Source organism: Homo sapiens, chromosome 4, assembly GCF_000001405.40.
Source record: "Homo sapiens chromosome 4, GRCh38.p14 Primary Assembly".
NCBI classification, from domain to species: Eukaryota; Metazoa; Chordata; class Mammalia; order Primates; family Hominidae; genus Homo; species Homo sapiens.
In genome coordinates this window covers 158,861,927-158,877,264 of record NC_000004.12, presented here as the reverse complement: position 1 = coordinate 158,877,264, position 15,338 = coordinate 158,861,927, and the positions used below count along the sequence as shown (strand labels likewise).

Here is a 15,338-nt window from a genome sequence, read left to right as displayed (position 1 = left end):
CCTGTGCTCACCTGATTAGGGCCCAAATTCAATCCGTGGCCTTGAAGATACCGTACATAACTTCTGGAATGGCTGCACTTTCAGGCTGGCCACTTGCTGAGTAAAATTCAGTCGGAAGTTGAGAAGAGGTGCTCAAGGTCAGAAAGGGTATCAGAATCAAGTTACATGATGAGATATGGAACTCCAAAATAAAATGAGAGAGGGTTGGTAGCTTTTTTGCAGAGAATGGCACAGATGTTCAAATATCTTGTAGGTAGTAAAACATTTTGGGAAAAACATCAAAATTAGACATGTGTCTAACTCTGACACGATGCAAGAGACATGAAGCCCAAGAGACCTATAATAAGCTTTTATTTTCCTTTAGGTAACGACAATGAACACACAGAGCTGCAGGCATGTCTAAACATCTTACTCTTCCCCTTTAAGTTTCTTTAAAGAAAGATCATCTCCCATCTCTCTTTACTTCAGAAGAAAGGGCCACACTAAAGTAATAGACACACATGACTCTAACCCCAGTTTTATGGGGAAGAGTCAACTAACGTTAGTGAGCACTTTCTATGTGCCAGGCACCAGGCAAGGTGCTGGGAATATAAGGAAAATAAAGTCCCTGCTTTCTGCTTCAAGGCACCTGAAGCCCTAGTAGAGGAACACATCTGGAACAGAACAGGGATATGGGGCCTGGAATGATTTTGAAGAAGAGGCAACATATGAAATGGGTCTTCAAAAATGTAAAAAAGTTTGTTCAATAGTGTCCTAGGCAAAGAAAGCATAATCTGATAGGCAGAGAGGTGTGAGGAAAGGTGGACTATTTAAAGAATGGCAAACAGTGTTACTGGGGCATAAGAGGAGATACAGGGGTATGTGTGTATATTTGAAGGACATAAAAGGGGCAATTCCAGCTATGGAGTTTACAGTTTAGTCTCTTAGAAAATAGGAAGCTATTCAAGCAAAAGAGTAAATGATTGTCTCATGCTTTAGAAAGTCCTCTTGCAGCACTGCACAAGGCGGTGGAAGTGGGTAAAGTGGACACAGGGATGCCATTTGGGAAGATCAAAAGGAACTTTAAAAAGACTAGTCACATTGAGAAGGCGAGAGAATCACAATGATTTCAGATTGGAGTTGGGGATACCCAGAGATCAGTATTTTTTTTAACCACAATCCATGATAAGAAATACATTTTAACATCATGACCTGGCATACATGCTTATATGACATAACCTGGCATGACATGCCATATGCATACAAGTGTGACATGTGTGCACATGTGTATAAATACACACACACATAATACAAAGGTTTCACTAATCAATAAGAAGCCTAATGTGTGATGATTTTAGTTCTATATCATTAAAAAAACTGGTAATCAAAACCCATTTATAGGTCAAAATATGTAGTTTTAAAAGTGCTCCATAGGCCAGTGGACATAGGTAGTGTTGTATTGAGGGCTGTGGCTATAGAAGACAGTGCTAGAGGCCTGAGGCACTGCCATGTTTATTATCCAAACATGGGGAAAAGAAAACAACGAGAGATGTTCCAAAATAGTGGATTTGTCCTACATAGATGTTTTCTTTGTATCCTATTGATTTTAAGGTTGTTGCTGACCTGAGGTATTTAATGTTATCTGTGTTACTTAAGTAATGATTTACCATTTGAAGGGACTTGCTGTTCTTTTATAGTCCTACAGGTTGATTGCACTGCATGGACTAATTAGGTATTCATGAGCATATATATATATATATATATATATATCACAGCCAGGCTTTTAGCAAAGCTCTTTATCTGTGCTACTGATTCCTGCATGATATTTCTGGAGTCAATCTGTTGCTACGCTTAAAATTAAATGGAAGAGGCTGCTGTATCCAATGGTTACTTCATCTTATAAATTATTCTGTAAAATGCTTGAAGCCCTGGAGCATAGTTGTTTTTTAAAAAACATCAAAACGTAGTGTTAATTTTGGTCTTGATGACCCTGCCCTGCAGAGTTAGAGCTGTCCAGTCTGCTCCTGGGCAAAGCAAAAGTGAATGCTTTTAGCACTCAATGAATGTGTGTACAGGTTCTGTTCAATCATTCCCAACAGTAGTCCCCTGGGATTGACAAGGCCATTGACTAGTTAGGAGAACTTTAAGTACATACGCATATAGCTTTCTTTTCTCTTTCTTTTCTTTTTTTTTTTTTTTGAGACAGTCTCGCTCTATTGCTCAGGCTGGAGTGCAGTGGCATGATCTCAGCGCACTGCAACCTCTCTGCCTCCCGAGTTCAAGCAATTCTCCTGCCTCAGCCTCCCAAGTAGCTGGGACTACAGGCACCCGCTGCCACACCTGGCAACTTTTTTTTTTTTTTGTATTTTAGTAGAGACGGGGTTTCACTGTGTTCCCCAGGCTGGTCGCAAACTCCTGAGCTCAGGCAATCAGCCCACCTCGGCCTCCCAAAGTGCTGGGATCACAGGCATGAGCCACCGTGCCTGGCCCATATATAGCTTTCTTATCTCTGACAGTAATTTTCATTTTTACGAAAATAATGGTTGTCATTCTGCTCTCCCATATTAAAAACATGATATATTGCTGTATCATTTACAAAGCACTTTTACATATATTATTATTATTATTTACTGAGATGAGGTCTTGCTCTGTTACCCAGGCTGGAGTGCAGTGGCAATGATCACAGCTCACTGAAGCATTGAACATTTGGCTTAAGCAAGCCTTCTGCCTCAGTCTCCTGAGTAGCTGGGACTACAGGCATGTGCCACCATGCCTAGCTATTTTTTTTTTTTTGCTAGAGATGGGATTTTGCTATATTGCCCAGGGTGATCTCAAAGGATCCTCCCAAAGCTCTGGCATTACAGGGGTGAGCTATCACATTTGGCCCACATTTATTGGGCACTTAACAATGTGCCTGGCAAAGTGCTAACCACTTGATATGCATTATCTCACAGAATCTTCAGACCAAACCTATGATGTAAGTACTGTTCACAGTATAGATAAGAAAATTAAAGAAACTTGCCCAAGGCCACAAAGCCACTAAGGGGTGAACCATGATTCAAACTTAGGTTTGTCTGTCTTCAGAAGTTAACTTCCTAACCACTGAATCATATTTCATCTGTTCCACTAAATACATTTTTCTGGGGCTTAGCAATGCCAGTTTATTTACCTAAGATTATCAACAAACGAGTGGTAATACCAGGACTCAAACTCAAGCCATCAACACTAAGTCAGTGAGATCTTCATCACCTTACACTGCCCCACAATAACCCCAACAGTAACCCTGTATACAGTCAGCTGTATTCACAGGCCAGACACAAGAGGAAAAAGGAGAGGGAAAAGGCTACTCAGGAGTCACAGGCATAGAATGCTGCTGGCGCATACGCCTGCTCTCTTTCCATTTAAAGTCAAAAGGAAAACAGAGGAAAGAATGCACAAGATGTGGCAAGAAAAAAACTGAAACCGTATTACTTTACACTAATTTAAGGCAGCTGTATAACCTATATATTAGGAGGCAGAGAGAGTTCAAATGACAGAAAAGAGGTAGTATATGGACTAAACAAGAATACGTGTTTAAATATTTAAAGAACTTCTGAATCTTGATATGTGAAAGTCAGTAATAAAAATGAAAATTGATGAAGTAGTTACTATATCTTTCTTTCATAAGAGACTAGGATAAGAAAAGTACAAAAAAATTCTTAACATTGGAAGCATTACAAAGCAATCTCTCAATGAGAGAAAAACTCCAAACTAGCAGTTATAAAAGTGTACATTTAGAGCCAGGTACAGTGGCCTGTGCCTATAATCCTGTCTACTTGGGAGAATGAGGCAGGATCACATGAGCCCAGTTCAAGTCCAGCCTGGGCAATACAGGAAGATCCCACCTCAAAAAAAACAAAAACAAAAACAAAAACAAAACAAAACAAAAAAAACCACCACATTTAATTTACATAAGACAGATTATTAAATCCAAATTGTGCACAGGTCTAGAAAAGAGATCAATAACTGGAATCAATTGCTTTTAAACAGTTAAAAATCCTTCTCTAAAAAGAATTATGAGTACCAAAGCCTGCTGAAATCTAGCATGAGCACTGAAATTAATGTTCAAAAAATAGGTTTGTTTTTTCTTTTTTTTTTTTTAACGCTATTTTATTTTTGAGATGAAGTCTTGCTATGTTGCCCAAGCTGGTCTTGAACTCCTGAGCTCACGTGATCTACCCACCTTGGCCTCTCAAAGTGCTGGGATTACAGGCGTGAGCCACTGTGCCCAACTTAAAAAACAGGTTTTGAAAGCAAGTTTGATAAAGCAATTTATTACAATTTTCTCTTCTTCAACAAGCTATTATTTCAGCTCTAACTCTGGTCATATACTTGTTTTTGGATCTCTGCTTCTTTTTCTGGCAACATATTCAAGAATTTAAATATTCACTAGGCTTTATGGAGCAGTAAATTCGGAATAATGTTTAAACAAATACTCCTAAAATATTTTTCAACAAATGTTTGTAAATGGATGTTGAAAGTAAGCCTGTTTTTTAAAAAAAAAAAAAAAAACACTACCATAGACCAGAGCGCCAGTTTAAACAGAACACTACTTCAAAAGCAAAATTCATTATGATGAATGTGTCAAGTGAAATTAGAAATCCACTAATGCTAATTGGATATATTCTGAATGTATTAAACTTCTGAAGATATTTTTATGAACCCTTTGGAATTTCCTATTAACACCCACGCATGGCTGCACTTTGGATGTACCCACAATTTGACACAATATAGGTTATTATGCTTAATAACTTTCGATCTCTCAGGGTGATTGCATAAAGAAATGAGAAAAGCTACAGTGTGAAAACACTCCTTCTAAAAGGAAGGGAAAATGAAATACGAAAAAGCTTGAAGAGTAATGACAGAGTAAACATGGTTGTGTTTTTTCAAATAAAAGAATTATAGAGCCAGAGGGTCACCATGAAAATCTAACACACAAAAATGAGAACTTGCCAGCCTATGGAAACATAAAATATTTCATGAATGGTTTTACAGATAAGTTCAAGGAGGGTTATCAATCAATAGATTGCATTTCCAGAGTGGTCAGTGAGTAAATCCAGGGCATTCAAACAAAGTCCCCAGCTGGTAAAACTGATGTCACTGAGGACAATCCCATTAGTTCCCCTGTAGTCTCTTGGTACCTCTGTCAGAAGCAGCTCACTGGGCTTCATGGAAGGAAGGTCCAATAACCAACACCAATATTGTTAGAAATCAAAATGATAGCAGAGCAGAAAAAAAAAAACAACTCACAGTTTGGCATGTGTGAATATAAACAATAGGAGCGGACAGAAAAGGTGCCTTAATGTTATAGGCAGTTACTAAACACACATAAATACAGCCTGTGAAATTGCCAAAGCATCAGACATCGTTTTGGACAACTTAGCATTATACAATGAGGGCATTTTTCTTACAGGGGTCATTGATGCATGGACTCATGAAATGATAAATGACTATATGGTGTTCATAACTATAAAGAGAAATTATGATATTAAATAATTATGATATTATAGGGACAAAAGCAACTTCATAGTTTCATCCCAGGAGTATCCTGGTGAGGGGTGGCATGTGACCACAAAGCAGGGGTGGGGTTAGGAACGTTTGGCCACACACGTGTACACTGGGCTGGCTTTCCCCAGCTTCTGATGGCCCTATCCTCATCTCTTAGCCCTCCCCATTGAGGGAGGTTATGTTGACATCTGCTTCACTACTGAGTTTTTTTCCCACTTCACATAAATATACTTAGCCTGTTTAGCCTGTGCCTGATGTTTGGTCTTCACAGAGGAGATGCTCAAGGCCAAAGATAACATGCAATGCCTTTTGTTCCACCTCAAAAAAAAAAATACTTGTTGGCCAAGGAGGTAGGTAACAGGCCAAATTCTGATTTTCTTAATGCGATGAGGACTTTCCCTATTGCACAAGATACAAAATGTTTCTAATACAAAATGTCTATTTTTGCACATCTGCCCAATAACAGCTCAGTTAAAAACAGGCCCATCAGATTGACAGTTTCCTTAACTGCTTAGTTCCTGTTGCCCTGCAGATAGCAGAAAAGCACTTAATAGCAGCCACGAGGCAATTTTTTCAGTGAGACTTATTAATCTTTATACAGTCATCCTCATGCAGCCATCAAAGTGAACTTAATGACAAATCAGTTAAAATAAATTACTTTTAGGAACTTGTTTAAGCATCAGATAAAAAACAAACCACATGTGACACCTCTTCGGTCCTCACCGTGACGGCATATAATTGTCACCATCTGTGCTGTTTATTCCATTTGCCCAGCCTATCTGCTAACCCACCACCCCCAGAGCAGCTCCTTGCCCTTCTGTGTTCTGTTCTGGGCCCCAGGAGGCTGACCTCTATGCACCACAAGGCTGTGTGTCTGCATCAGCTGTGCCCCTGCTCTCTGGCTTTCAGCCGGGCTCAGCCAATGAGAGGCACCAGAAAGAGACCAGAGAATGGGAGGAGGGATGGCAGGAAGTCACCCCCTCCTCACTGCTCCTGCAGCCAGGCCGCCCCTCGTCCTGGCTTAGGTTCTCCAGGGCTCTGATGTCACGCACCCTCCCCTTACTCTGTCAGGCCCAGGTGTGCTTTCTAGCTTCCAGCTGCTGCTAGGCCCCAGGTGCCTCACTAGCCCTAGCTGGTTCCCATAACCCTGCCCACATCTCCATAAACAACCCCTTAACTAGTCTCTCTTCAGTCTAAACACCTGTTGTCAGCCAAGACCTTGACTGACACACTGTCAGCAGCCAGAGGCTCCACACTGGGATCACTTACATGGACTGTGTGGACAAGGTCGGCCACCAGGCACTGCTTCAGCTTCTCATCACTGCCGGTCCCATGAAGCACAAGATCAGGCATGTATGTGGGGCAGTAGCCCGCCAGAAGTGAGCGGCCAAAGTTCCTTACATTCTGGGTGCTGATGCTCTGAGACCTAAAACAACATGTGGCCCATTAAAATGCACAGCTAAAAATGTACTTTTTTCTTTCATTATAATTGGTACAAGCACTCCAATGATACAGGTAAATAAAATAGATTCAGGGTGGTCCATGTCACCAACCCTCAAGTAAGTGGATCACAGGTGGGAGAAAAGGGAGTTTTTTAAAGTGGAAGGCTGGAAGAAAAAAAAACTATCCATGGCTAGTTATGAGTTTGTTTTTGTACCTCATATTGGACATCCACCAGGCAGTCTGTGTCAAAATACTGACCAAAGAAAATGTTTCAGGAAGGGCTCTTGCCAAAAGCCTGGCTTTAGGAATCTGACATATCTGCACAGAGTGGTGCCCACGACAGTGCGGAAGAACAGAAGAAATTTCTAATTACTGCTTTCAGTCATTACAGACCAAATAATCAACCTGATGGAGTGTTAAGAAAGAGGTGTTGTTTCCCAACCACCTCACGCTGCTCTGATCGGCAGGAGAGAGGCCACACGGCGAGTGTAATCCACCACCTCTGAAGCAAGGCATCTGCTGCCAGCCACGGACCTTCTCTGCAGTTGACAGAAAATTAAACTCCCTATTCCCTCCCCCATCTCCACCACATCCCTTAGGCTTCCCCAAAGGATCACGATAGCTGCAAAGACAACCACTGGCCACCTGTCCCAGTGAGCTCAGTGGTGCTAAGCCAGTGACCATCCTTGGAAGAAGGACAGGTGGGAAACCGTTTGTATAGAATTAATAATACTTCTAGTACTTTGTGGAAAAAAAGATACTGTGTGTAAAGCAGACAATAGTAGTGGCTAACAACATCACAGGTGTCAGGCCAGGAAAGTGGGATTTGAACCCAGTTCCCTCTACTTCCCAGCCTGCTGGAGTTACCTTGGCAGAGGCAGCTCCACTTCCAAGGACCCTCCAGTCCTGTCACCACCGTGACCCAGATCTAGCATGGCTGAAGCGCAGGCTTCGTCGTCACTGTCTCCCAGGGCGCTATCTGAGCTTTCATTTCGGGGAATGTCTCCTTCAGTCCTGAAGTTGGCCTTCTTGTTGTCATCCCCACAGGGGATATTCGCACCAGCCACGAGGCCAGGGCCCCGCTGGACACACCTGGGGGCAACAGGCTCCAGCACAGGTCCTTCCGCAGCCTTCACATACAAACCTCTAGTGGCCTCCAGCCTCCTCCCTCCCGTTCCTCCTGCACCGTGGGAGGCTGTGCCCAAGTCAGCAGCGTGGCTGAGCTGCCCAGCAATATCTGCTGCCATGTCGTTTCTGCTGCCTCTGTCCTCTGCAAAACCCTTGTCAGACTCGCCTTCATCCCCCTCTGAAAGCCGATTCTGAGGACAGCAAACATTCTCCTGAAAGCCAGGTTTAAAAGGGCTCCTAGAAACCTGCGGGTCCTGAGCCACATCAGCAGCCTCACTGGCCTCCAAGGAGGGGCCACAGGCCTTCACCCGTTCCTCCATTTTTTTCATGCGGCTTTCAAAGTCAGACTCTGGAGATGCAAAGCTTCCAATCTGGAAAGTGACCTTTTCTAAGGAAGGTTTCTCCCGGAGATGTCTGTCAGGGCAAGGCCAGGCCACTGACCGGTCTGGCAGTCTTGTAGGCATCTCCACTTTCAACAGCTCACAGACAGCTTGCTGGTCCATCTTCATTCCTGCCCCCAAAACTTCACAGCTGGGAAGTCTTGAAGAGCCATCTTGCGGTGCCTCTTTATTTTTCTCATCCCCACAAAATGCATTCTGAGGTTTCCAGGAAGCGTCTGATGCTGGCCCCAGGCACCCTGCGCTGCAAGCCTCAGAACCCTGCTCTGGCCTCCTGTTAGCTTCTTTGTCAGGTTTAAGACCCAGGTCTCTACTGTCAGTGCCCTCTGGGCACTCAGGAAACCCTGTCGGCCAGGGGTTGTGTCTCTCTGCTGCTGTTGGTGGTAGGATGGGGGGTACAAGAGCGGGCTCGTTCCTCACCGTAATGACCACATACTCAGACTCCTCCACCTCTCCTTTCTCCAAGGCTGTTATGATCTTGCTCCCATTTAAAACTTGGTCACCTTCACCATGATTGCCACTCCAGGTCAGCTGGTTCTCTTGTAGCTCAGAGCAACGGAGAAAGTAGGTCAGGACATAAAGTATTCGCTGGACTAAGTCCTTCTGCTTCCCTACCACTACGGTGCGAGTCAGTCTCACTGGAGAGCCTATGGCTCCGTAAAGATCACCTAGAGAGCAAAGGTGGACACAAAGGCAGTGGTCTCTGGGGTTAGCATGTCACAGATATATCCGTCTTTACAAGAGCAAAACAGATAACTTATATTCCCAATCTGGAGTCCCTGCTTCAGACTCATGATTTCTACTCTCTAGTAAGGACCACGTTTTAGTTTTGCCACTGTAAGTGAGTCAGTCTGGACACAGGCTGTGGCCCACCACCCCTGGTGTGTGGGAGTCGTGCTGCTGTGCCCACAGCCCCTCCCATTGCCTGCTGGGTCTTCCCTGCAGCTCAGTGGGTCAGCCAATGAGATGGCCCAAAGAAGGCTAAAGCCAGAGCTCTGAATATGTGACCAGATCTAATACTATATCTTGGAAACTAGAATAATAAGAATTTGTTGGAAGAATCCCAGGACATTGGGCCTTGGGATAAAATCCAAATTTAGGAATTTCTCAACAGAAGTGCAGTGAATTAATTCAAAATACTTAATGAGGTGGTCTACACAGAATTATCTTAATACGCATACACACACCAAGTAGAATCAGCTTGATTAACAAGAAGAAAATCACTTAGTCATGAATGAGTCTGAAGGTTTTATTTCATTTCGCTTGAAAATTCAACTGGGCCAGGCGCAGTGGCTTATGCCTGTAATATCAGCACTTTGGGAGGCTGAGGCAGGCAATCACCTTAGGTCAAGAGTTTGAGAGCAGCCTGGCCAACATGGCAAAACCCCGTCTCTACCCAAAATACAAAAATTAGGCGAGCGTGCTGGTGTGCACCTGTAGTCCCAGCTACTTGAGAGGTCAAGGCAGGAGAATTGCTTGAACCTGGAAGCCAGAGGTTGCAGTGAGCTGAGATGGCACCACTGCACTCCAGCCTGGGCAACAGCATGAGACTCTGTCTCAGAAAAAAACAGAAAAGAAAATTCAACTGGAAAAAAGTATGTCCCATTAGTTATATATCCTGACAAGTTGATTAAAAACTGACTAATGTACTGTGAGCTCTACAGTCAGCTTAAGGAGGAGACAATAAGGGCAAATGTGTCATCCAACCACCCAGCAATAAGCTTTTCATCAAAAGTACTTCAGTGCCTAACTATTAAAACTACTGCATTTGATAATTTGATTATTACATTTTATAATAAGTTACACATTTGATAAGAAGATGGACAATTATAATAAAGAACCTATGTTTACTAACTGGACAGGCACTGTGTTAAGACCCTAAAGATGTATCTCAGCTGGGTGCGGTGGCTCATGCCTGTAATCCCAGCCCTTTGGGAGGCTGAGGCAGGTGGATGACCTGAGGTCAGGAGTTTGAGACCAGCCTGGCCAACATGCTGAAACCCTGTCTCTGCCAAAAATACAAAAAATTAGCCAGGTGTGGTGGCAGACACCTGTAATCCCAGCTACTAGGAAGGCTGAGGCAGGAGAATAACTTGAACCCGGGAGGCAGACATTGCAGAGAGCCAAGGTGTCGCCACCGCACTCCAGCCTGGGCTACAAGAGCAAAACTCCATCTCATAAAAAAAGATGTGTCTCATTGTATCTTTGTATAATCAAACTGGAGTTAGAAACCCATTAAAGAATAATCAGAGGGCTGGGCACGGTGGCTCACACCTGTAATTCCAGCACTTTGGGAGGCCGAGGTGGGCGGATCACTTGAGGTCAGGAGTTCGAGACCAGCCTGGCCAACAGGGTGAAACCCCGTCTCTACCCAAAATACAAAAATTAGCCAGGCGTGGTGGCAGACACCTGTAACCTAGCTACTCGGGAGGCTGAGGCAGGAGAATCGCTTGAGCCCGGGAGGCAGAGGTTGCAGTGAGCCGAGATCACGCCACCGCACTCCAGCCTGGGTGACAGAGCAAGACTCTGTCTCAAAAAAAAAAAAAAAGAATAACCAGAATATTGGAACAAATCAAAAGCTGAAAAGATACTAAATAAAGGAGAACTGATACATGGTAATCAGTACAAATCAGAATGTAGGAAGTTAGAAACCCTCTGAGGAATGCATCTAGAGAGGAGGGAAAGCAGTTATAAGGGCATATACTAGATAAAACTAATTAAAATAGATGAGTATGGGAAAAAAGTTATGAGAACCATCGGAAAGTACCTCCCCCTGGGACCCATTAAGAAATACCTCCTTCTGCGAGTATTCCCTTGTGTACGGTTCCTAAGAACATTCAAATGGCAAGACATAAATAATAATAAACAATCCTCTCTATAAAATGACTAGATTATAGGCTGATAGAGCTTTAACTGAGAGGCGTTTGCAAGTGACTGAGAAATCAGCCTAGAATTCAAGAGAGTAACTCAGAATTGTAGGCTGAAGCTAGGACTTTTGTTTGAGAAAACCTTTCTAAGAGCTCATTACTGTTAACACTTTGATTACATCTGCCTATTGCCGCAGGATATCAACAGTCATTTCAGGAATTCATGAAATATTTTTTGTTAAATCAGTTTCAATATTAATAAAGAAGAAGCATTACTTATCCAAAATCTGGTATAACAAACTACAGGGGAAAGACCACTTAGAATATTATTTTTTAGCAATGCATTTGAGTATTGTATATTTTAATAACTAAGGAACAAATGGAAATGGTAAAACAAGGAAGGTTATTAAAAATACAATTTATAATCATTTAAACTATATAAAATAATGAGTGCAATGTGAGTGGAACCAGTGCTATTACATTATAGCCAAACTTCATAAAATAAAGCATTTTTAAAACAGTAGACCCATAATATTAAATATTTACTGGAAGTTCAATTTTTTTTTGAGTCTTGGATAATTGAAGCTAATTTTTAGAATAGATTTGTTTTCATGAATATAATTTTTTAAAATGTAGAAATTGCACAACAATGTGAATGTACTTAACATGACTGAACTGTACACTTAGAAATGGTTAAGATAATAAATGTTGTTATATGCTTTTTACCTCAATTAAAAATAAAAATTTAAAAGAGAGGCAAATGGGGAAAAAGCAGAAGAAAAAGTGAAGGAGTCAAGCGTGCTTCCAAGTGAAATAGGCCAAAGACAGAGTGCATGGAAGCAGGAAAGGTGCTGGACAAAGTAGGAGAAGAGGTCACAGGAAAGGAGGACACAGAAAGGAATGGTGGCAAATGGGGACACAGAGTGGAGACTCAGGGAGGGAGAGACGGAGAGAGCAGAGGAACAGACAGAAGAAACTTAGGAAGAAAGAGGGAAGAATAGAGAGAAGGGAAAGCAGAAAGAAAAAAGATGGGATGTTAGAGAGGTGCAAAATGATAGAGAACTGGGGTGAAGCCAAAAGAGGATGGAGAAGGAGAGGAGATAACAGCCAGGAGGGTAAAACATGTAGAGAAAAAGAAAACAAAGAGGGAGGAAGAGGGAGAAGAAAGGAAAGAACTGTTGAGGGGAACAATAGTGAAAAGTTGGAAACTAGAAAGAGGAGAGGAAAGAATGAGGTGGAGAAGCTGAGAGAATTTAGAAGCCCTGTAAAGGAAGCATGGTGAAAGAAAGGGGGTTAGAGAGGTAGGGGACTATATAGACAGAAACAAAAATAAACCAGGAGAAGCTGAGAGAGAACAAAAATAAGGAGACGAGAAGAGAGTTTAGTATCTTAAAGGCACACTTATTCCTGATCACATTCTAATAACGTCTATGTTGTAGAATTCCCCTTTCAACAGTGTCTCCTTATACCCTACACAGTTTAACTTATTGCATCTTTATTATCATTATTTCAAATGTTTTCTAATTTCTTTTGTGCAATTTGTTTGGCTTGTGGGTTATTTAAATGTGGTTGTCAGCTGGGTATGGTGGCTGACACCTGTAATCCCAGCATTTTGGGAGGCAGAGGCAGTTGGATCGCTTGAGCCCAGTTCAAGACCAGCGACCAGCCTGCAAAACATGGCAAAACTCTGCCTTTACAAAAATTAGCTGGGCATGGTGACGCACATCTGTAGTCCCAGCCACCAGGGAGGCTGAGGTGGAAGGATCACTTGAGCCTGGGTGGTTGGGGCTGTGGTGAACCTTGATTGTACCACTGAACTCCAGCCTGGGTGACAGAGCGAGACTCTGTCTCAAAAACAACAACAACAACAAAAATACATGGTTTGATTTCTGAGAAAGTGAGAACTAAAAAAAAATTGATTTGTAGTCTAATTCCACTGTGTTTTGAAAAATACAATGTAAACTTCTGAGAAAAAAATTTCACACATTTTAACTTATATTAAATCAGTGGTCCAAATCTCTTTTGGGTAGAAAAGCTCCTTTTCATTTCTACAAACCCTTAAGATCATTAGGTCAAAAAGAGACCTATATGGAACTACTTCAGTCAGTGGTGTAGACAGTGGCATTTAAACTTTGTATACCTATGCCAAGAAAGAAATACATTTTATACTGCAACCTCAATGCATCTTTTGGAACAGACATTTTACAAAATATACATGTAAATCACTGATATTTTCTATTCTATTATACCAATTAAATGCTTTTTAATTAAACCCACTAAATTGCTTCTGCAGCCCACTAATGGGTGGCGATCACATTGTACACAGGGAAGTGGCTGGGCAGAAGCAAGGATCACCGAGCTCCTGAGCAGCAAACCCGTGAAAGTGGCATCCGGCTTCCCTCCCTCTTCCCTGGTAGTGCTGAGCAGCCATGGAGGGGGAACGCACAGTGGCACCTGTCCTGGAAAGCTCTCAGAGGAGTCTTTGGAATGATTCCAGATAGTCTTCTCTATACTTAGGAACCTGGATTGAAATTTTATCTCCATCATTGTGTATTCCCAGCAGTTTCTATTTTCATGTTTACTGTGACTTGCTAAATACTGAATGAAAACAATAAAATGCAAAGCAAGTGCTTCTACCTGTCAAATTATTGAAGGCCCCCGACTTCTTTGTAATAATGGAAACTCGGCCATCACTTACACTTGGCTTTACAAAGCTATCACAGGCCTTCGCCGACCAGGGCCTCGTCCTCGTCCCCTCCTCACACTCCTCTTGTCAATAGCCAGACCCCTGATGGATTGTTTGGGGGAAGGGAGGACTGAAGACTTTCAACAATACATGATCTCCCCTGAAAGATGAGGATTGTGAACCCACAGGAAAAAACTCTTCGTTATTATGCTGAACATAGGGAATTAATGGCTCTCAGTTATGTTTCAAATAAGAAGCACACCTAATTATGAATACATTTATCTAACTAAATGCACACTACTTAATTAGCATTGTTTTAAAATGGGTGATCCAGCAGCATGGAATACAATGTTTCCTTAATATCCAGCCCCCTTTCCTTCTCCACTTAATGAGACTAAGTTTTTTTCAAGACTATTATTATTCCATAACAAAACAACCATGTTCTGTCTTCCCCAGGAAAAACTTCCCGTATGACCAAGAATGAGTTAGGCATGTTCTGAGTAATGATCAAATCAGGGCAATTAGCATATCCATCACCCCAAACTTTTATCATTTCTTTGTGTTGGGAACATTTGAAACCTCTCTTCTAGCTTTCTCTGAAAATAAGCTATTCTTAACTATCGTAATCCAGTGCTAAAGAACACTAGACTTTATTCCTCCTATCCAGTTGTAATTTTATATTTGTTAACTAGCCTCTCTCCATATCTCCCCTTCCTTAATTCCATTTAAATATCCACAAATTCTTTAATTGATTTAGAACACGCCTTTTACCCCCTAACCATGAGGGAGCTTGTATTCATTTATACATCTCACGACCAAGAGCACAAGGACAAGACAACATCTGTATTGTTACAAAATGAGGCTGAGAGTAATAAGGGTAGGGATGAGAATCTAATGACTATGTGTAAAACCAGGGCTTGGCTCACAGTGTCAGCTTTCATTATTGTTATTATAGCATGCTGCTTTCCAGGATGAGGTGCTTTTCTGTGGATATTTTTGATTGTTACAACTTGGGGCGGGAGGTGGGAGGGGCAGTTCTACTGGCATCTAGTAAATGGAGGCCAAGGATGCCACTCAATATCCATTAATGCGTAAGAGAGCTCTTCCCACACCCCACAACAACTCAACCAACAAAGAATTACCTGGTCAACAGTGCTGAGGTTAAGAAATCCTGCTCTAGGGTGAACAGCCACTGTGGAATGGGAGAACACAGTTGGCTTATACTGCTTTAAGAGTGTAGCACAAAGCTGCCAGTAGGGGAAAAAAGAGAGGAAGGTCGTGGGTCTACAA

At 42.2% G+C, this 15,338-nt stretch overlaps 1 protein-coding gene across 13 annotated transcripts in view; it reads right to left on the bottom strand.

Moving 5' to 3' along the window:
* The window catches only part of FNIP2 (folliculin interacting protein 2), a 139,025-nt gene that overhangs the window by 30,786 nt on the left and 92,901 nt on the right, over positions 1-15,338 (bottom strand). For 10 of the 13 annotated variants that reach the window (XM_005263158.3, NM_020840.3, NM_001346043.2 and 7 more), the window contains 2 exons: positions 7,837-9,163; positions 6,796-6,952 (listed from right to left, as the gene is read on the bottom strand). In XM_005263158.3, the coding sequence (XP_005263215.1) occupies positions 6,796-6,952; positions 7,837-9,163 (1,484 nt within the window). Of the gene's footprint in view, positions 1-334; positions 5,845-6,795; positions 6,953-7,836; positions 9,164-15,338 lie in introns of those variants that run through there. The other 3 variants (XM_047416018.1, XM_005263160.4, XM_047416019.1) reach the window with 1 other exon arrangement.